The sequence below is a fragment of the Homo sapiens genome, chromosome 7 (genome assembly GCF_000001405.40).
Source record: "Homo sapiens chromosome 7, GRCh38.p14 Primary Assembly".
Classification (NCBI taxonomy): Eukaryota; Metazoa; Chordata; class Mammalia; order Primates; family Hominidae; genus Homo; species Homo sapiens.
In genome coordinates, this window is record NC_000007.14 from 70,497,433 (window position 1) to 70,519,424 (window position 21,992).

General features: G+C 43.3%; 1 protein-coding gene across 25 annotated transcripts in view, besides 1 other annotated feature; it reads left to right on the top strand.

Annotated features, from left to right (window-relative positions):
* AUTS2 (activator of transcription and developmental regulator AUTS2) overlaps positions 1 to 21,992 on the top strand; it is a 1,195,032-nt gene that overhangs the window by 898,958 nt on the left and 274,082 nt on the right. The gene's annotated exons all lie outside the window — the stretch shown is intronic.
* Positions 7,524 to 8,723: an enhancer, noted in NCBI's record as "CDK7 strongly-dependent group 2 enhancer chr7:69969942-69971141 (GRCh37/hg19 assembly coordinates)". NCBI's record gives its function as "activates an origin of replication core promoter dependent on BRD2, BRD4, P300/CBP, MED14 and CDK7 cofactors, with strong dependence on CDK7, by STARR-seq in HCT116 cells {active_cell/tissue: HCT116}" and the evidence as "EXISTENCE:reporter gene assay evidence [ECO:0000049][PMID:35650434]".

The window sequence follows — 21,992 nt, forward strand, 5'->3', positions numbered from 1 at the left end:
GATTGTTGTGCTGTTTCCCTTACGTGTAACCATGGTTAGACTTTCTTGTTATGTAACTGAGAATACTTGGTTTTTGGAAAATAAAATGGAGAGCACTGCTTTATCTTGGAGAATAATATCCTCATGCATGTGGAGAATGCCTTTAACTTTTCCAAGGTTCTTCCTACATGTTATTTGAATTTCCTAATAATTCTGAAAGGTAGATTTTCTTGGCATTCCCCTTATTTTAAAGCTGCAGGGACAGAAGTTTGCGTTACCTGTTCATTAGGGGCATAGCTGAGTCAGGGATTCTGGACCCTCGGTTTTCGCTGAGGTCCTGTGTTATTAATCCTATACTTGGCATCTTCCACACAGCCAGTCTGAGAAAGCACAGGGCCTGCAGCTTCCTGGGACAGGGTCTCAGACACGCAGAGACCATCAGGAGGAGTTCACTCTGCTATTAACAAATGTTTACTGAGCACCTGCTACACATCAGACACTACTCCAGCCGCAATAGTCCAAACAGTCAAGAATCCCTACATTCTATGAGTACAAGGGAATGGTGAGTGAATGAGTAAAACACATAATGCATGTGTCAGATGGTGATTAGTGCCAAGGAGAGAAAGAAAGCAGGAAGAGGGGTAGACAGAATGCTGGGAGTGAAAAGAAGTGGGAAGAGGTGTTATTGAGGGGTGACATTGGAACAAAGATTTGAAGGTGCTAAGGGAGCAAGTTTTGAGGATGTCTGGGGAAGAGAAGTCCAGGCCAACAGAAAGATCAAGGAGTGTGGAAACCGGCATGCGTTGCCTTCCTGAAATCCACAGAGCCGCATACTCATTGCATGTGTGTGTGTATTTGAAAACTTCTTAAATTCTGAGGTTGGTACATGGCTTTAATTTTTGCCTTAATGGCTTCCTGCACTTGGGGAGCTCTTTAATAGGTGCATTCTGGTAGTAGTAATCATCAGTCCTGGGCTGGTATCACATTACCTATGTGGAAAAAAGCAGAATTGCTTTGGCACTGATTGGGTCTTGGGGTGGTGACTATGTTTTCCTGGTTTTTAATGCAGATCATTGAAAACATGTCAGGGCCTGGTCTCAAGTGTTTCTCTTAAATGGGATAGAATCATGTTCTTATAAGCAGAGGGTGTAGGAAGGGACTAGGTGGGGGGTTGGTGGGCAGAAGGGTTCTTATATTTTAAATGCCAGTCAGCTGCAACCACTAGTTAACTGGAGCCTGTTCAAACTCATTTGGAGAACAGTTGAATTTTTAAAGTGCCTTTTGATTCTCTCTTTCATTTATTTTAACTGATCTGCTGGGATTAGGAGCTTGGTAGGGGAACACCAGAATGCTTGCCAAAATGTGTGAATAATTAGAGCTGCGATGATGTGTGCCAGATAGAAGGGGAGTATTCACACTTCTGATTAGATTCAGCTAAATGCAGTTGTAAATCACTGCTGCCACAGTAACAGCGCCCTGTCAGGACTGAGCACAAGAGGAGGCTCAGGGCAGTGAAGAGACGCAGGGCAGCCCCAAGGCATGGGGCTGGACCGAACCTTTGTGGAAGAGGAGGGCAAGGAGAATGGCTCCAGTCACCAGCAGCCCCTGGGACATTGGTTTTGGCATCTCTCTTTCAGCTCACTTCTACCGTGTTGAGTCTTGCTGGGCACTGAGGTGGCCACCATCTCAGCAAATGCGAGTAAGACGGGTCCCTGCTCTCGGGATGCTTACAGTCTCACGGAAGGTGAATGCACAACTGTGGTTCAGTGTGATGCATGTGTCCGCAGGACAGACATTGTGCTAAAGGGTCCCAGAGGAGGAATTGGGCCTGCTGAAGGGAAAGGAGAAGGGATAGGTGGAAAGGCAGTTATTTCCTTCAGAGATAAAAGTTGACATTTCAGAGTGCTCAGCAAGATAAGTTAGTGGCTGGAGGAGTTCCAGGCAGAGGGAACAGCACATGCAAAGGCACAGACAGGCAAAGCCCCACCCAGTCTAAGAGTGCAGTCCTCCAGGATGGCCGGGGAACTGGGAACAACATGGAAGAGGCTGGCGGTGCAACTTGGAAACACTGCAAATAGGTTGGGTCAGAATGTGAAGGGTCTCAAGTGCTCATAGGAGGAAGCTCTTCTTCCAATTACGTACCACTCCCAAGATCCCAGCTACCCCTTGGAGAGGGTGGGTTTCCCACCTCAGCCAGAGAACCCTGCCTTAGCCACAGTCATCGATGGGAATGTGTTAGTATTCTTTGGACAGGAGAAATAAATGTTGAGAACCATTGCTCTCACCAGTGGAGAGTCTTAGGAGGTTAAGAAGGTGAAGAGGAACTATAAGATGGTTAAGTTAAAAAGAAAACTGGCAGAAGCTTTGGTGTAGAATTGTTAGTTTACAGCAAGGTAAGTCTGCAGGCTCCCAGATGTAGATAGGAGGTTACAGTCAAGGTCTGACCAAATGATAGAATCCATTTCAAGAGAGATTTCAGAGTGGAATCCAGTCAGACTTGTTGAGGAAGACTCCAGCTGTGTGCTGGGTTTCTTGCTCCTTTCTGAACCATCCTTGCCTGATCCTGACTTTTCTGTACGTGTGGAGTGCCATAGCTCAAGACACGATGTCCTTCGGAAAATAGACAGTGAGTGTATATGTTTTACAGTATTGCCCAAGAGGTGGAATCCTGTCATTTCCTAATCACAACTACACGTTTCCTCCCTCTCCAGCACTGCTCTGCTCCCTTTACCTAAGGTTGCTAAAGGTACTGGTGGTCTTCAAAAAAAAAAAAAAACAAAACAAAAAGCAAATACCCACCTCTTACTCAGGACACCCCAGTCAGTGGATGCCTTCTCTGGCCCCTCTCCCGTCCTGTTCTTGGAAAAGCAGCCTACTTTCTCTGTCCTGATCATGCAACAAGTTGCTCTGAAATGAACCAGCAGCTTGTGGTGGGAATAAAAGCCCAGGAAAAGGAATGCAGAAGGAAAGTGATGGAACGGCATGAAACCCAAAGCAATTGATAAAAATGAGCACCACATGGAGAATGTGGAAAGGAGAGGCAAGCATAAAAATCACAACCACATCTGACATCTCTAGAAATGGAGAGAGACAAATGAAATCTCACATGTGGCTTTCCTCAAGTCAGAAAGATTCCGCTTCTCCATTCAGGGGCGGGATGAAGGAGCCTCTTTGGAAGCCGTGGGCCTTTCTCAAGTTGTTCTACCACGCCTTTCATTTCTCCCGCTTCAGCCAGTAAGTTCAAGTGCTTAGAGAAATGCTTAGCCTCTAGCACCTTCTCCAGGCACAAAATAATGGGTTGACCAAATTGATAATTTTTTTTTTTTTTGAGATGGAGTCCCTCTTTGTTGCTCAGGCTGGAGTGCAGCAGCATGATCTCGGCTCACTGCAACTTCAGCCTCCCAGGTTCAAGCGATTCTCCCGCCTCAGCCTCCTCGAGTAGCTGGGATTTCAGGCATCCGCCACCACGCCCAGTTGATTTTTGTATTTTTAGTAGAGATGGGGTTTCACCATGTTGGCCAGGCTGGTCTCGAACTCCTGACCTCAGGTGATCCGCCCGCCTCAGTCTCCCAAAGTGCTGGAATTACAGGCATGAGCCACTGTGCCTGGCCCGAATTGATACCTCCCAAAGTATGCATGAAGGACAATAATTTGAGATATGAGGAAAAAATCTAAAATGACTTTTTCTACTTATTTTTATCTCACCTATTCAGATTTATTTCGTGAATGTGTATTTTAGAAATACATTAGTATACTGGTATATCATTAAGCATATCAATAAGTAAAAATATCTCGGGCAAGTTAAATGAGTTATTTGTCTGTTTTTACTCTGGGGGGCACATGATCAGAATGTGTGAGGACTGGGAGAGTAGTTAGCAGTGTCACTAGCTGAATGTGGGGCCAGGAAGAATGCTCTAGAACTGTGAGTCCTTGTGGAAACAGGGGCATTAACTGGATCGGCTGCCTCCTTCTAGCCTATGAGATAGCCTGTTAGCTTCCCTTGTAGCTCAAAGAGCCCCTGGAAATCAGTAGTCAGAACCCAGAGAAAGGGAAGTTCTACCCGTAAAAGAGATGCCCATGTTTTCTTAGCTGATAGTCACTTTGCAGAGCCACACCCACAGGTGACAAAAGCACAGTGGAACTTACCCTCAGGCCCTTTCACCATCACAGGCCTCTCTTCTTTCCTGGTTTTGTCGTTGGGTAGGGGTGGTGGTGTTGCCTCCCGGAACCCTCATCCAGGCTACATGAGACATGCAGACATGCTCCAGTGTCATGAACCTCCCCCTCAACAGCTCCTTCCCCCCTTTCTCCACAACACAAACAAAACCATCAAACTCCATATGATTGTTATAATCTAACTGTGGAGTCAGGAATACTGTGCTGCCCTACGTGATGCTCTTTTCATTTTTGCAGCCATCTAGCTTTCTTTTCCCCCTACCCCAGCAACCCACAAACTTAAACTCCAACCTAGTTCAACCTCAGAAATCCCATTAATGTCTTAGAGGCAGGTGGCCTGAGGAGCCCTTCACTTCTGCTGTCAGCTGTGTCTCCATGGCTCAGGAACTTACCCTCCCACCCAGCCAGGCTGCTTTCCCTGTCAATAGCATTCTCATTCCCTCCATGTCTGTTAGAACTTGACCATTAGTCAAGCTGTTCCTGAGATGTGTCTCTTGTAGAGATGTACACTGGTTAGAAATGGAAGCACCTCCGTGACTTTCCTCTCCCTGTCATGGTGACAGCAGTGTGACAGGTTTGACAGTTCCAGTTTCTAGGACCTCCAGCTGCAAGTGCTGCTTCGACCATGTGCTTACGAATTGCTTCAGGTCCACCTCGTACCCTTTCCCTCTCCAGCCATGTTTATCTTGGCTCCGTATTAATGGCACACCTTCTGAATGTTGGACAAAGATAGTAGCTCTTGTGTAAGAACACACTATCGACAGCAAATGGAAGATGTTACACTTTAAGGCTGCCAGTTGTCCCCACTTGTGCCATACTGAAATAGGAGATGGCCTGCATCTGTTTGAAAGAAATTGAGTGAAATAATAGTTGGTGAGTATAGTCCTGAAGGCAGTGAACTGTGATGGAATCAAGGATCTCTTCCTGTTAGAGTGACTTTTGCCCACCGCTTCCAGTGGTGCTTGTAGAACTTAGGATCTCAAGAATATTTTGTGTCCCCTGCAGAAAAGTAGCAATGCAGGTTGTTCACATCCAGAGGTCATGACTCCCAACAGACTTTGTTTATAGCAGCCCAGGCTCAGTGAGGTGTATAGTGGGAAGGGCCCAGTACCACATGGGCAGAGAAGCACTCATTAACTTCCTACCTGGTTGTAAACATTAGAAAGTTCCCATTCAGAAAAGTACTTAACAGCAAATATCACAGCTATGGTATAGTCCTGTTCTGAAGCGGATGTGTTTTACAGGTGAAGACTTCAGGAAAACAGCCAAAGAAGATGTGATCTTCCAAGATATCATGTACCCTCCATTGTTTGTCAGTAGAGGAGTTTTGGGCATTTAGGGTAGACTCCTCCCACACATCACAAAACACTTAGCAACACTGCTTTGCCCATTAAATACCAGTATCTATCACCATCACCTTGACTCCTGAAAAACAGTCCCACACAGTTGCAAGTGCTCCCCAGGGTGGGGAGGAAAGGAGCACTTCTCCAGAGGGAGAACCAGGGGAAACGAGGTAGCAGCACCCATAGGTGTGCCTGTGCACTGGGTGCAGCTAGTCGGTTATTTCACTCAGACTCTTGATGATTCAACACATTTTGGAAAGAGAAAGTTTGTCCCCAAAAGAGGCACCTGACTGGCCCAATCCATTGTCACATGTTAATGGCTGTCACATGACAGCCAGTTGCTGGATCTGTTTATGTCACCAAATAGTCACTGTCTAATTAGACTTACAAATTCTAAGTGTAGCATTAGATTTACAAAGTCAGTAAACTGTGATGTGTGCCTGTGTTATCTTTCATGATCTGACAGATCATGTTTGAAAATTGGCCCAAGCTAGGCCCAGTGGTTTGTACCTGTAATCCCAGCTACTTGAGAGGTTGAGGTGGGAGGATCACAACATCCTGGGAACAGAGCAAGACTCCCGTCTCATTTTTTTTTTTTTTTTTTTTGAGATAGATTCTCTCTCTGTTGTCCAGGCTGGAGTGCAGTGGCTTGATCATAGCTCGTTGCAGCCTTGAACTCCCAGCCCAAGTAGTCCTCCCACCTCAGCCTCCCAAGCAGCTGGGACTACAGGTGTGCACCACCATGCCCTGCTAATGTTTTAAATTTTTTGTAGAGGTGAGGTCTTCTTATGTTCCCCAGGCTGGTCTCAAACTCCTAGGATCAAGTGATCCTCCCACCTTGGCCTCCCAAAATGCTGAGATTACAGGCGTGAGCCTACTGCACCCAGCCCAAAATTGTTTTTAAAAATAAGGAAAAAAAAAAAAAGAAGAAAGAAAACCGGCCAAAATGCAGAGAAAAGTTTGACTATCAATGCAGCATTACTTTGGTTTTATTTTACATCAGCCATCTCCCCTCCGCTCAAGATTTGAGGTTGCTTGTTAGTTGAACTACTTGGCAATGAATTTGTCATTGAAACAAAAATTTTGAATTTTTGAATATGAGAATTTCATTAATAAGTCATGAATTGTAAGCTTGGGTGTGAAAATCTTTATAATACTTTATAGTGAGACATTTCTCATCTGTCGTCTTGCAGGCTACTGCACAGGAGCTCGAGTACATAGATTTGTTGTCAATTAAATATTAAAGCTTTATAGGCTATTTTTATTTCCTTCTGCTTGCATTCCTTCCTCCAGCTCCTAATAGCCACATGTCCAGTCTTTAAATGGAGCCAGGTTTAGAGAGGTCTAATGAAGAGGGTTTACTGAATGGGGAAAGGGCAGCCACCGTGACCCCATATCACACCTTTGCCACACAATCAGAGACCTCTGTTGAAGCTATTCTGGAAAAGATCTATTCTTACCAGAAGCTGTCCTGCGCTGTCAGTGAAAAGACATTAGGTGCAGGTGTCAAACATGACTAATGAGGCATGAGGAGTCGACAGCAAAATAACAGAGATTATGGGCAGAGAGGACTTGCAGATGAAATGTGAATAGCAGTGTAGATGTGTGAGTGATGCAGGAAGGAAGGGGACCGGCACCGAGGAGCAGTAGCTGTCCCACTTGCGGGAAGGTTGGACAATATCAGTTACTTGATTGGTATCTTCTCCTTTGATATATTAAGTGGACAAACATCTAATGTTTTCCTCTCGAAATCATGAGTTTCCTGCAAGTGTTTGGGGCTTGGTATCCACGTTTCTGTAATCTTCTAAGACAAGCCAGAATCTTTTTCTGTTTTTATATTTACACAGGTTTTATTGTGAAATTGTCAGGAAGGATGAGGCATGTTTCACTCATTAATTTTCATTGTCATCAAAACATCAGAGTTACAGTGCAGTATCCTGCTATTCCAGGGCCCACAGGAGCTCTGATTGATAACATTCTACCTTCACAAAGGTTGTAATCTAAATGGAAGAGGCTGGAAAAAGAAAAAAGTATGATTAGTTGTAGTTGTGTCAAAAGCTGCCTCTGAACAGACCAATACACTAAGCAATCAGAGATTTCAAGAGAGGTAGCAGGGCCTGAGACTCTAACTCAGTGAATCTTGCTTCACCAGATGTGGAGTCTGTCTTTGGTGGTTTCGCAGAGCCTGGCCCTGAGCCTCCATCCACTCAGCGCTCAATAGATGACTGTAAGCATATTTCTATGCGTTCATTAGCCTCAGGGAGGTTGATTTTTACCTCCTAGAGGTGAATTTTAAAGACTTCCTTTTTGGATGAGAAAGAGAAGGCTGGTAGAGAAGGAGGAGCAGAAGCACCATGAAATCAGGTGGGTGATGGTTTCCTTTCCTGGTGCTTTTAACCAGTTCTCCCAGAGTGGAGATAAACATGAAGTTAATATGGGGAATGTTGATCTTCCTAAATGCAGCTCCAAATGATAGACCCAGGACAGGTTTCCAAACAGCTGTTATTCAGATTAGAGGCAAGGACTTGATGTATTGCTCCCATTAGAAAGTGTCCTAATGGAAAGGGCCTGCACTTTCTCCTGGCCCCATCTGAATTAAACAATTGGAGTATTTTAAATCAAGGGTCATAAGTGTCAACAAGATGGAGAGCTTTGCCTCTCGATTAAAAGAGGCTTATAAGTTACTTAGGAAGTTCCTGCCGACACAGATTGCACGTGGCTCCTGTGAACCGTGGTTATACCCAGGCTAAGTCCAGCCGTTGTCCTAAGGAGGGAGCAGGCCACCTCAGACAGAAAATGCAGCTGGAGAATTTAAGTCTCACATGCCAAGATCCTGCTAACCAGAGGGTTTGGGGGAGGTAGGACCTTTCATGTTTCTCTGCCAACTTGTCCCCAAGGTAGGGACCACAATCCTGGCAGGCCGGGATGGGGACCAAAGTGGCACTTGCCTTTCATAACATGTTTGTGCTTGTTTCCGTATCAGTAATGTCTTAGCTCCTTATCAGGTTAATTACCCACCCCTTCTTTCCAGGCTCCGAGTAGAAGTCATGCTCCAAGACCAGGCGCTGGCCTTGAACGTGATGCCTCCTCCTGGTTTGTACCTTGTTTGAGATCATCTCAGGCACAGAGCACTGGAACACGGGGAGCCACGTGATCCCAGGTGCAGGCTGAGCCAAGCATGATCCCTGGGGTGTCTTTTTCTCCCCTGGGACTGACATTAAAGGTGCAGGAGCCAATCAGGATCATAACAGAAGGTAGAAGATTTCCCCAGATTGAGAGGAGAGGAGAGAAAGAGCAGGGCAAGGGGGTGGTGAGGAGCGAGAGAGCAGAGCCCGAACAGCAGTAGCGAGGGCAATGCATCTGGAGCTACAAGGACAGACGTCTCTAGGTAGATGCCCTTATGGCAGCGCTTCTGGAGAGAGAAGAAAATCCCAGTAATATTAACAGGGCTACAACAAATGAAAATTGGAAAATAAACAGATGGAACATGCCTCATAGTTTAGCTTTTATCATCAATAATTCTAAATCTGCAAGTGAATATGGCTAACTGTAGTTCAAACCATCTGCCTATTACTGCCTCTCACTTGAAGAGACTGTGTTGCATCCCACTCTCCACCAAGACTGAGAGGAAGGGAGGGAGGGAGAGGGAGAGAGAATAATTATTCTCAGCTGTTCTGTCAAAACAGACACGTGCTCCGCGCCCAGCGTAAAGGTCAACTGCAGATACACCATCTATCTCTGGAGAGGGCAGCCAGCAGTCCCACGCTGCTCTCCTGGGCTTGTGGGGACCCCTTCTGGCTGCCCTTCTGAGTTCAAATGTAAGCGTCTAACAGGCAGGCTCTGTTGTTTATTTCGGGGCTGAGATTCAGCAGTTTCTTATCTATATGGGGGAAATTAATGCAGGTACATGTATGGTGTGTCCCAACCTACTCTGGGCCATGTGGAGTCCCCTCTGTGCCTTTCAAGTCTTCTGGAGGCTCATCTGGGGTCCAGAACAGTGCTGTGAGAGATGAAAGGACACGAGTGCTGTCCCAGCGCAGAGAGCTCAGAATCTGGGGAAGCCTGGCTCTCCAAGACAGGGACCACTGATGCTGAGTGAGCACCAACCCAAATTAGGCCTGGTCTTCACCACCCTCTTTTGGAAAATGAACATTTTATTCAGAAGGCAATATGGTAAGAACCTTGAGGAAATAAGTGTAAATTGTAAATCAGCCACAAACTCAGTTTTAGCCTACCTTGCCTTGCGTATTCCCTCTTGCAAGACTAACCAGAGAAACACAGAATCAAGCCTTTATCATTTGGTAAATTGTTTCATCAAGAATACTGGCCCAAGCATGGTGGCTCACAACTGTAATACCACTGCTTTGGGAGGCTGAGGCGGGAGGATCGCTTGAGCCTGGGAGTTTGAGGCCAGCCTAGGCAAGACCACATCTCTACAAAAATTTTTAAAATTAGAAAAAAAAGAAAGAATACCATATCTGAGGTGCAGATGAGTGTGCAAGTAATTCTTTTTGTTGTTGTTTTAACATGACAACAGCTGGCTTTTTTATGGAGCTTCCCTGAACATTAAAAAAAAGTAACTAAGGCCGGGCGCAGTGGCTCACACCTATAATCCCAGCACTTTGGGAGACTGAGGTGGGTGGATCACCTGAGGTCAGGAGTTCAAGACCAGCCTGACCAACATGGTGAAACCCTGTCTCTACTAAAAATACAAAAATTAGCCAGGTATGGTGACGGGCACCTGTAATCCCAGCTACTTGGGAGGCTGAGGCAGGAGAATCGCTTGAACCCAGGAGGCAGAGGTTGCACTGAGCCAAGATCGCACCATTGTACTCCAGCCTAGGTGATGGAGCAAGACTCTGTCTCAAAAAAATAAAAATAAAGAAAAAGTAACTAAGACATAAAAACCAACCCAAAATAAGATGGGGCACCTGAAAAGTGTATGTGTACACATGTGTGTGTGCATGTACCTCATATGGGCAATGCATGTGTGGACACAAATACCAAAAATATTCCAAAGACTTAATTTTTTAGGTGTTGACTACTGTTTGTTCATAGCCCAATGGTGTTAACAAGCAGTAGATTGTTAGTGACAATCACACTCTCTCCAGCACTTACAGCAGAAGGCTTGATTTAATCGAAGAGCTGTCATTTATTATTCTGTTGTGCAATTCCATGGGGGTAGCTAACTGATCAAGCTCGGGCTACGGGGAGCAGAGGGCTTTTTTTTGTTGTTGTTATGTCTAAATCCTCAATACAAATTACAGTATTTCTGGACTCCCAGTGGGACCCATTAGAGCCTGTGGGGCATTAACGATCATTAATAGTGCTGTCAAAAAGGAGGGGGGTAGGGAGAGAAGGAAAGAAAGGGAGGGAAGTGAAGAAAGGGAGGGTGCAGAATAGTAGCCAGGGAGAAGTGTGGCTTTTTTTCAGAAATGGAAAATTAATACATCTGCTTTGTTCACAGTGCCGAGCATTTGATGTTTATTAACAGGCATCTTAATTTTGCAGATTAGTACCAGTCGGGTTCTTACTTCCGCATATTGAAATCCTTCCATTGCCTCAGATCCTTCTTCTCTTTTCCTCATCCTTCCTCCGCCTTCCCAAAATCTTTCTCTCCCCAGTAGTCAGTCCTGAATCTCCAACTCCAACAATGAAGACAGAAAGGGACTGAGAAAATATGAGTGGGGAGAGTGTCTTCATTCAGAACAGAGTGTGTGCGCGTACATACATACACCACGGTTACAGCCATAATTGGCAATCTTGCCTGTGATATCCCATTAACTGTGGTTCCTTGTAAGCATTTAACTGTATAGTTAGTAATCAGGTAGAAATGTTTTAATCACTTACTAACTAGCATGCTTATCAGTGTGATGGAGAAAGGGCAAGGTATTAATTAGTTAGGATAACATGCTAATGTTTGCATTGTAACACTTCTGCTATTTAAAGCAAGGAAGACCCTGAGTTTGAGTCTTATTCAGAACTGAAGCCTTTTTCTAGAATTTTTGTTCTCTCCAAATTCCATATCTATGCTAAGCTGACTTGCCTTTTGCCTCCCTATGGTTGCATACTTTTCTCCTTTCATTATATTTTTCCTTTCAGTCTCGGACTCTTGAGATCTAGTCTTCTACATCCATGACATTCTCAAACCACAGAAAGGAATTTTCCCACAATAATAATAGGTGTGCATTACACTTTCTTTCTTCGCAGCAATAAGTGCCATTACTTCATTCAAGTGTTGAGTACCTGTGATGTGCTGGGCACTGTGCTTGACACAGGGAATACAGCAGAGGGAAGAAAGAACCAAGGCACCATTCCTGCCCTCATGGAGCTTCTGCTATGGTGGGAGAGAGACTTGGGAATCCCATAAGTCCATTTAGAATCACAGCCATGGTGTATGGGAGAGGCATTGGGACTATGAGAGATTATAAGGTATTCTGACTTGGGAGGAAGGTTGGGAAAGTACCCTACGGAAGGTACAGTTGAGCAGATAGAAAAGAAAAATAGATTGCTGATTACTTTGTTCCAGGAACCATGTTAAGTATTTTTCCATGGATTATTTCATTTAATCCTTATAACAGTTCTAGAATATAGGGAGGATTCTTTAGTTTACAGATTAAACTAAGGTTTAAAAGAGAATGAGCTGCTGCCTGTCTGGCCCACGGTATAAGCCTACTGCATAGCTCATTGATGAATGAACCCCAGGTATGGAGAATTTGACCCTTGGATAGTAACTCTTCCATCTTCTCTTTTTCGTGTCTTTTGACATTTTTGAGCATAGATAAACCAGGCTGACCAATGCAGCCATTTTACTCTCATCAAGGACTCAGAATGGTGTGGGTACTGTGCACTTGTTTGAGACAATGCCCTTCCTTGCTGATAGCTTCCCGAATTGAGCAAAGCAGATACAAAAAAAGTGAGCAAGACTCTCAGCCTACAATCTCTAGTGTGGAAGAAACACCCTATTTCTTTGCTTTCTTACATCAACTTCATTTTCTACTTGAAACTGTACCCCCTAAAGGGACCTTGCACTTAAGTCGTTCCCAGTGCATCCTACATCCCTAGAGTTGTGTCTGTGTTCTGTGTCTTTTTGCCAAGGGATGTTGAAGGCTGGAAGTCCTCTAGGTCTTAGGTCCCCCAGATCACTGTGGGAAGACCCCACATCCCCATCCCTGTGAGCCACCAGGAGCCTGGTGTGGCCATTTCTCCTGGGGCCTTGCTTCCTCCTGTGAGCCATTCCAGAATAGGGTGTGGGGCCCTGGTGCTCTGACAGCCACAGCTTCCTCTGCTTCTCCATTCTGGGTGAATCTTTTCCTTAGCGAAGCCCTTCCCCATATCTTAGGCACTACAATTCTTTACTTAAGCTCTCTTAAACTTTATCTTTCTCATTCCATTAGATTTTCATGGCCATTGAACTTAGCAACTGAAGAAAACTAGTTTCCCTTTCCTATAGGGCAGAGAGAGCTTTAGTAACCAAATGTTCCTAGGAGGAGTGGGGAAACATTTTTATTTTCATTCCAGTAACACAGTGGTTCTCAAAGAGTGGCCCAGGTACCCAAGGGGGATCCCCAAGACCCTGTCAGGAGTTCTCCAAGGCCAAAACTATTTTCCCAATAATAAGACATTATTTGCCTTTCTCACTTACTATCATTCTCTCACAAATACATGGTGGGGTTTGCCAGAGGCTACATGACATGTGATTTAAAATATTGAATGCAAAAGCAAATATGAGAATCCAGACATCTTCTATACCAGACATTAAAGAAAATTGAAAAAAATGTAAAACTCACTAATTTTTTTGTTTTGAAAAAGTTATTTTTATAAAAATGTATTTAACAGGTAATAGGTTTATTGTTATTTTTAAATGAATAAACATTTTACAGTTTTCTCAGTTTTAATTTATTTATTTTTATTTATTTATTTATTTATTTTTGTTGAGACGGAATCTTGCTCTGTCACCCAGGCTGGAGTGCGATGGCGCGATCTTGGCTCACTGCAACCTCCACCTCCCGGGTTCAAGTGATTGTCCTGCCTCAGCCTCCTGAGTAGTTGGGATTACAGGCACCCACCACCATGCCCGGCTAATTTTTGTATTTTTTGTAGAGACGAGGTTTCGCCATGTTGGTCAGGCTAGTCTGGAACTCCTGACCTTAGTTTATCTGCCCGCCTCAGCCTCCCAAAGTGCTGGGATTACAGGCGTGAACCACTGCGCTCGGCCTTTAATTTTTAATTAGCATAGCAAAAGCCTTTTGGAAGTTCTCAAAAAAAAATTTAAGAGTATAAAGGGGTCCTGAGGTCAAAGCATTTGCAAACTGCCACAGCAGAGCAAAGGAAGAAAAGAAAAACCAAACATCAGATTTCCAGACGAAATCCACCATGCCACACCGGCAATTTCCAAATGCGGAAACTGGATTGTGTCATCCAGTGAGAGAAACTGTTACTTGGATACTTTGGCCCTACCTCTCTTATTTTTTTTTTCTCAAATTTGAAGAGATCATAATAAAACAACCTCCTAAATCTAGGTAATCACACATCCCAGTTTCCCTGGGACAGCCCCAACTTCTATATGCCCTTTGTCCTGTCATAATTTTTTATTTTTATTTTTTTCATTTTAAACTTTTTTTCATTTTCTTTTTTTTTTTTTTTTTTTTTTTTTTTTTATTGAGACAGAGTCTCACTCTGTTGTCCAGGCTGGAGTGCAGTGGCACGATCTGGGCTCACTGCAATCTCTGCCTCCCAGGTTCAAGCGATTCTCCTGCCTCAGCCTCCCAAATAGCTGGGATTACAAGCATGCGCCACCATGCTCAGCTAATTTTTGTATTTTTAATAGAGACCAGGTTTCACCACGTTGGCCAGGCTGGTCTTGAACTCCTGACCTCAAGTGATCCGCCTTGCCTTGGTCTCCCAAAGTGCTGGGATTACAGGCATGAACCATCACATCCGGCCTGTCCTGTCATAATTTTTAAGTGTTCCCACTTTCACTCTTCAAAGTGTCCTGGTTTGATTGATAAATTAAAGGTCAGCCTACCTGAACCCCACCCAACTTCATGAGCTTATAAATGACAAAGTAAATACAAAATTTCTATAGTCCAGAGAGTCAAGAAAGCATCCCATTTGGATTGACTGGCTGGGATGTGGCAGAGAGCATGCATTTATTTGTCTGTGACCTTTTCCTGTTTCAGCTGTGAATATGGGTCCCCACGTTGATCTCAGCTAGGGAGCTGGGTATTAACCATCAAGGCAGTGGTGAACCGGGTGGGCCTCCCACACAAAAAGCTCACTGGCAACTAGCAAATCCAGATGGCGCACATATCCATGTGATATTAGCCACATAGAGGCCTTTGCGGGGCTTTTTTTGGACATTGCTAAGCCTGCTGAGTCTAAGATTTCAAATGCTGTTTTGAGCTACTTGATTTAGAGGTGAAGCCAGACCACTTGGAGGGAAGTGTGAAATTCTTTGGAGTTCTTCAACTCACTTGTGACTCTATAAAAATTACCCGGGGGCCAGAAGCAAGGAAGGAGGTAACGCTTCAAGTGGCCCTTCTGCCTCCACAGCACTTTTCAGATTAGGGAGTGACAGGGGCTGTGGAACCGTTTTTCCCTCCCGCTCCTCAGTAGGAAAACATCGAAACATCCATACTGTCAGCTGACATGATTTGGGGTGAGCTTTAAAGGACTAAAGGACTCCCCCCAGAAGGCTGAAATCCTTGTTAAGCAAGGAACTTTCATCTCAGGTTCTAGGCTCAGGAGCATGGAAATTGGAATTCTTTTTAATTGACCATATGGTTAGTTTTGCAGCTTTGTGAAGCTATAAATCTTTGGTGGAGTTGTAACCCAGCAGAAGTGTCACCAGAGGAAATTTTTTTTTAACTTTTTCCTCTTGTTTCTTCCCAAAACTCACTTAAAGAAAAAAAAAAAACCATGCAGCTTTTGATATATACACACTGGTGAGTGAAGTGTGGGGGGGCAGTAGGTCTTGGACAAGTGAGCGTGGCAGGGATCTGTCAGGCAGATCCAGCAGTTCCAGCCCCATTCTGAGAGCTCGCAATTTAGCTTTTGCTGGTGCCAGCAATTATAAAAGGGGCCTACTCAGCTTTAAGCACTCAAGTGTTGATGGACAAAGTGCTAGTTTAACAGATCTGCGTAATGGGGAACAGGTGGATAAATACAGGATTAGGGAGCCCTTTACAGTAACAGCCTTATTATCACATGTTATGTGGGGTTTTTGCCTTCATTTGACAACTTGGGTTGTGTAAAAAAATTTTAAGTAACACAACATAGAGGAAACCCTTCATAACAAAGCACTGAAACAATTAATCAAGATTTATGAAACCTCTGGGTAGTAGTGGTGTATCAACCAAAGTGGCTATTTCTGATCAGACCCACAGCCTCCTAAATGAATAAATGGAGAGCACAGCACCAGAAGCCACAGCCTCCATAAGTGGTACAATTGTTTTCCATAATTGAAGATAGCAAAAGCCTGTGTACGATCAAAGACCATTCCATTAGGAGAGTGAGGATGTAATAAGGGGACAGATTTGAGTCTGCCCAGCCTGGAAGGCATATAATCTATCCCCCTGTCTCCACCACAGCAAACCCCACTGGTGAAGCTTACTCCATCTCAAATGGTGGCTGTAATCCACCTTTTGCCCTTAGGAAATTGTATTAGTCCAGACCTAACCCCCTTATTAAGAGGAAGCACTTTTGCCATAGAAATCATCTACTTTTCTGTTTCCTTTTTTTTTTTTTTTTGAGATGGAGTCACTGTTGCTCAGGCTGGAGTGTAGTGGTGCAATCTCGGCTCACTGCAACCTCTGCTCCTGGATTCAAGTGATTCGCATGTCTCAGCCTCCCAGGTAGCTGGAATTACAGGTGTGCGCCACCATGCCCAGCTAATTTTTGTATTTTTAGTAGAAATGAGGTTTCACCATGTTGCCCAGGCTGGTCTCGAACTCCTGACCTCAGGTGATTTGCCCACCTTGGCCTCCCAAAGTGCTGGGATTATAGGTGTGAGCCACTGTGCCTGGCCCCTTTCTTTTAAATCACCATAGGATTTATTAAATGAGCACTGTATAGATTTGTTTTACAATTTTTAACCTTTATGTAAATAATGTCCTCTCTTTTACCCCTTTAAAAGCTGTTTCTTGGCTACATAATATGTTTTGGCTGTTTATCTATATGAGATAGAGCTCTAGTTTATTTTAACTGCTGTATATTATTTTATTATGTGAATAAACCATACTTTATTAATCCTCCTATTGGATATTTAGATTGTTTTTCATTTTTAATATAATGACGAAGTCCACAGTCAACCATTGTTTCTTTATGCCAAGGATTAGGTTTGCTGGGTGTGTTAGTCTGTTTTGCATTGCTATAAAGGAATACCTGAGACTGGGTACTATCTAAAGAAAAGAGGTTTATTCGGCTTATGGTTCTACTGGCTGTACAAGCATGGCACCAGCATATGCTTGGCTTCTGGTGAGGCCTCAGGCAGCTTCCAATCATGGAAGAAAGCAAAGAGGGAGCCAATGTATCACAGGGGAAGAGAGGGAGCAAAAGAGATGCCAGGTTCTTTGGAACAGCCAGCTCCTGTGTGAACTAAGAGCGAGAACTCATTCATCACCAAGGGAAAGCCATTCATGAGAGTTCCGTCCCTATGACCCAGCACCTCCCACTAGGCCCCGCCTCCAACACTGGGGATCACATTTCAACATGAGATTTGGAGGGGACAGAACATCCAAAGCGTATCATGGGGTCATAAGGTGTGAGCATCTTCACCCCAACTGCTTATTGCCAGTTGCTCTGCGGTGGTTGAATTCATGCGTGTGCCTGGGAAGTGTCTGAGAGTTCCCTTTCACCATATCTTGCTGAACATTGACTGTCAACAGACATTTTAATATTCTCCTGTGTGATAAATATAAAATACCATCTCACTATTCCGATCATTTGGATTTTCCCAATTACTAGTGAAATTGAGCATCTTTTTACACATTTATAGGCTATTCAACATAATATCCTTTGTCCATATTTTTATTGAGTTGTTTATCTTTTTTGTATTTACCTGTAAAGCTCTTTATATACTCTGGATACTAATTTTTTTTGGTTGTATGTTTTGTAACCATTCATTATTTCCTTGATTCCCTTTATTAAGTAACAGAAGATATAACCAAATAGGTTGGAAGCTATAGCATATAGAGTCATGCAGGTGATGCTCAGGAGTTAAGAGTCTCTCCTGCAGGCAGTGGGGAGCCGTTGAGGGTTATTAAAATGAGGAATAACATGATCAGATTTGCTATAGAAAGAAAAGGAAAGCAGCAGAACAGAGGAGGATGGATTGCAGAGAGGAGAGGCTAGACGGTGGTGCCAATTAAGAGGCTTTTGCAAGAATCCAGGAGAGAAATAATGAGGACCTGAACCTAAACCATGACAGTGACTCCTAGGAGGATTTCCAAGGATTTCCGGGAACTATTTGAGAATGGGATGGGCAATGCTAGTGAGAATTCAGTGGAGCATTTTAATCAGCCCTTTCCTATTGATTCACAGAGTTCCTTTCCCATCTTGCCTCGGTGAGGATTGTTTCCATCATCCCTTGGCCACTCAAGTCTACTTACCGGGTTAGAGACTTGTTGGGTCTATGATGTCCAGTTAGATTTCCCTTCAACGAGACCCAGGGGGACATTCTGCCAGCCATTGACAGATCTTAATTCTCCCTTTGGCTCTCACTTGTTCCCTTCATGCCACCTTGTTTGCCTCTCCCTGACTCTCCCTCTCTCTCTCTTTTCTCTTTTTTTTTAAATTTTATTTCCCATTTTTAAATCATGCACAGTATAATACAATAAGCATTAAATCATGCAAATTGGTCTAGGTTACATTTTGAAAAATGTTAAGAGGAAACTGTTAAGAGACCAGTTTCTGACAGGCAATGCATTTTAAAGTTGAGGGATTTGAAATATTTCAGCAGTGGACCTAAAACAGCATTATAAATTAGTTCAACTTATCAGCCCTAAACAGAATTATTCATCTTCCAAAAGGGTATTTCATGGCCGCTGGGCCCAAACGATCGTTCACCTTCATTTCTGCCCTGCTCTAAGGGTAGGTCTCACTTTACTGAATTCTCCTGATTCATTACTGTGTGTTACTTTATGAATTTTTTATCAGCATTTTAATAGCTCTTTCAGATGATTGAATGTAACTGATTCTTGTAGCAGAACACTGATTGAACAGAGAGACAGTAATGTATGTCGTAGGGGTTAGCTTCAAGCCAAGCAACAGAGTTTTTTACCTATAAAGATGTGCTTTTTCTCCCCTCACTAAGAGTCTCTGCAGATAGAAGCTGCCCCCCTCCTCCTTCCACACACCCGCACCTTACCCACCAGGATTTAGGCAGGAATCTGCCATTTTCAGTTTCCGGCATGGTACTGCCAGCAAAGAGAGGGAAAAATCAGCCCAAGCCTGAAGCACCCTCTTTTTGCTCATCAAAAGTATGAAATGATTAAGATTTCGGAGGTTCTTGGGATAAGAGAAAGACATTAGACTACCTCAGACCAGCAGGAGGATGGTCTGTGGGAAGAGCATTGGAGTCTGAGCCAAGCATGAATCTCAGCTGTCCCTTCCTTGCTGTATCACCTTGGGTTCTTCGTCTCATTGTCCTGAGCTTTTTCACTTTCCTGTAGATCAGAATAACCCACCTTTCCTGGTTATTGTGAGGATTAAATGAGAAATTGTATTAGAAACTCCAGGCACATCAGAGGCCCCTCAGGAAATGTTTGCTACATATGAATAACGTACACGAAAGCACTTGTGTGGCACTGTACAAATATAACTTATTAATATAAGCCACAGTGATGCTTGACCAAGAAAAGACTTTTTATAATACTGTATGCTAGGTTGAACCATATGAGATTCTATTTTAATAGACCCAAAATGGCAACTTCATATGGTTCAACCCAATATTTTACATTGTTTGATCATCTGTTTCCTGGTTACAATGAAAAAAAAATGTGAGGGATTTGTGTTTGGGTAGTGGGGGAATTATATAGCTATAAGGAATATTAGAGATAATTAGGTGCAATTTTCTCTCCTGATGAGAAACCCAAGGTCCAGACCACACTGGTAGTAAGAAGTAGAGATATGAGAACACACTCAGTTCTTCCCAAATCCCAGGACTTATGCAGCATATCACACAGCCTTCCTGAATAAGGGATTTGTTTTCTTATAACAAGTATATAACCGGACTTGAAAGAGAATCCAGATCCTCTTCAGCCTTGACCAGGATTCTTTCTTCTGTATATGCTCACCTGTGTACAGCACCCAACACTGGGGAGGTTCTCAAGAGGGTTTCTTAGACAACTGATTGACTTCAAATGGCAACTAGAGAGAAATCAAAATGAGTTGTAGACATTGGTACATGGGTTTGGTGGTATCAGATAAGTGAACTGACACCTGAATCTTAGCTGCAAATCCCAGCCATCATTTGATTCTTGGTGTGTCTTCTACCTCAAAATGATACAAATTGGAGTTGACATGAGTTTTTAGGGAATCTACAGAACCAACTAGAGTTCAGTGTTTTGGGGCAAATTGTATATACACATATATACAAATTGCATATACACATATATACAAATTGCATATACACATATATACAAATTGCATATATAATATATATTATAATTAAATAAAATATATATAATGTATTATTACATATAAATTATACATGTATAATTTGCCCAGAAACAATTTGTGTCCAGTTAATGATAGAAATTGTTCACTTAATATACACATACATAGTTTGCATATGTATACATATGAATACACACACACACGATTTGTGTCCAGTTAATGATAGAAATTGCTCACTTAATCATTTGTATGTATACATATATACATACATAATTTGTATATACCCACACACACATACATGATTTGTATCCAGTTACATTAATGATGGAAATTGCTCACTTAAGCTCTGAAAGTCATCAACCAATCCAGAAAAATACATAAATGGAAGAATGGGCTGGCAAGAAATGAGTGGAAGTGAAATGTCTTATTTGGCAAATGAAAATATAGCCATTTGGGCAGATACTTACTCATGAAATGCTGATAAAATACTTGAATCACCAATATCCTTGTTTGCTTCCCTGTTTATGTCAACATCTTAATGTGAAATATAATTACAATGAACATTCAGAAACAGAATGGCAAAGCCTGGCTAAATTTATTCTAATGTCCATTCTTATGCTGAAAGCTAGGTCTCCAAATGTACTTCTAAAATTATTTTTTACAATATGTACTTTAATAGGATTGCAGGATTGAAATATAGCTTTTGTGGGGCAATCAGGACGCAGGGGAGAAGTTATATGAAAGTTGGGTAAAGATTGGGGGATTTTATGGCTGATTTTCATGATCCTGCTAAATCATGTGGTCACAGTGGGATGAATGAAGAATGAACACTAGAAAAACGTGTCTTTTTGGGCTGGGTGCGGTGGCTCATGCCTGTAATCCCAGCACTTTGGGAGACCAAGGCGGGCGGATCACGAGGTCAGGAGATCAAGACCATCCTGGCTAACACGGTGAAACCCCGTCTCTACTAAAAAAATACAAAAAATTAGCCAGGCGTGGTGGCGGGTGCCTGTAGTCCCAGCTACTTGGGAGGCTAAGGCAGGAGAATGGCGTGAACCAGGAGCCGGAGCTTGCAGTGAGCCGAGATCGCGCCACTGCACTCCAGCCTGGGCGACAGAGTGAGACTCCGTCTCAAAAAAAAAAAAAAAATGTGTCGTTTTGTTTGTTTGTTTGAGACAGAGTCTCACTCCATGACCCAGGCTGGAGTACAGTGATGCTATCTCAGTTCACTGCAACTTCCGCCTCCCGGATTCAAGCGATTCTTGTGCCTCAGCCTCCTGAGTAGCTGGCATTACAGGTGCACACCACCACACCCAGCTAATTTTTGCATTTTTAGTAGAGACGGGGTTTTACCATGTTGGCCAGGCTGGTCTTGAACTCTTGGCCTCAAGTGATCTGCCCACCTCAGCTTCCCAAAGTGCCGGGATTACAGGCATGAGCCACCACACCCCGCCAATAATATGTACCTCTTTTCACCCATGTAGTTACTGCTTATGGACTTTTCTCCATTAAAAAAAAATCAAAACACTAAAAGCCTTTATTTACACTGTTTGCTCTTTCTTTTACATCTACTCTGTATCTTCTTCCTAATTAAGAATAGTTGGGAACCTCCAGGGTCAAATAGAAATGGTGGCATCAACACGGTCATAGAGAACTCTGATGTTCAAAGGACATGGCCATGGAAAATCAAAGGGAAGACTAATAAAGTTAAAGGAAAGTTTCAGGTTTGTTGGGCCCAAGGACTCCTGAAAGGATAGGATTAATGTGTTTTTTGAGCCAAAGTTCTGCCCTTGAAAGGGAAATCTCCTCTGAGCTTTGAGTAGCTGGTGCTGCATCCTTTAAAAATGTATTGGATGGAATTAATAGTGAGCGTTG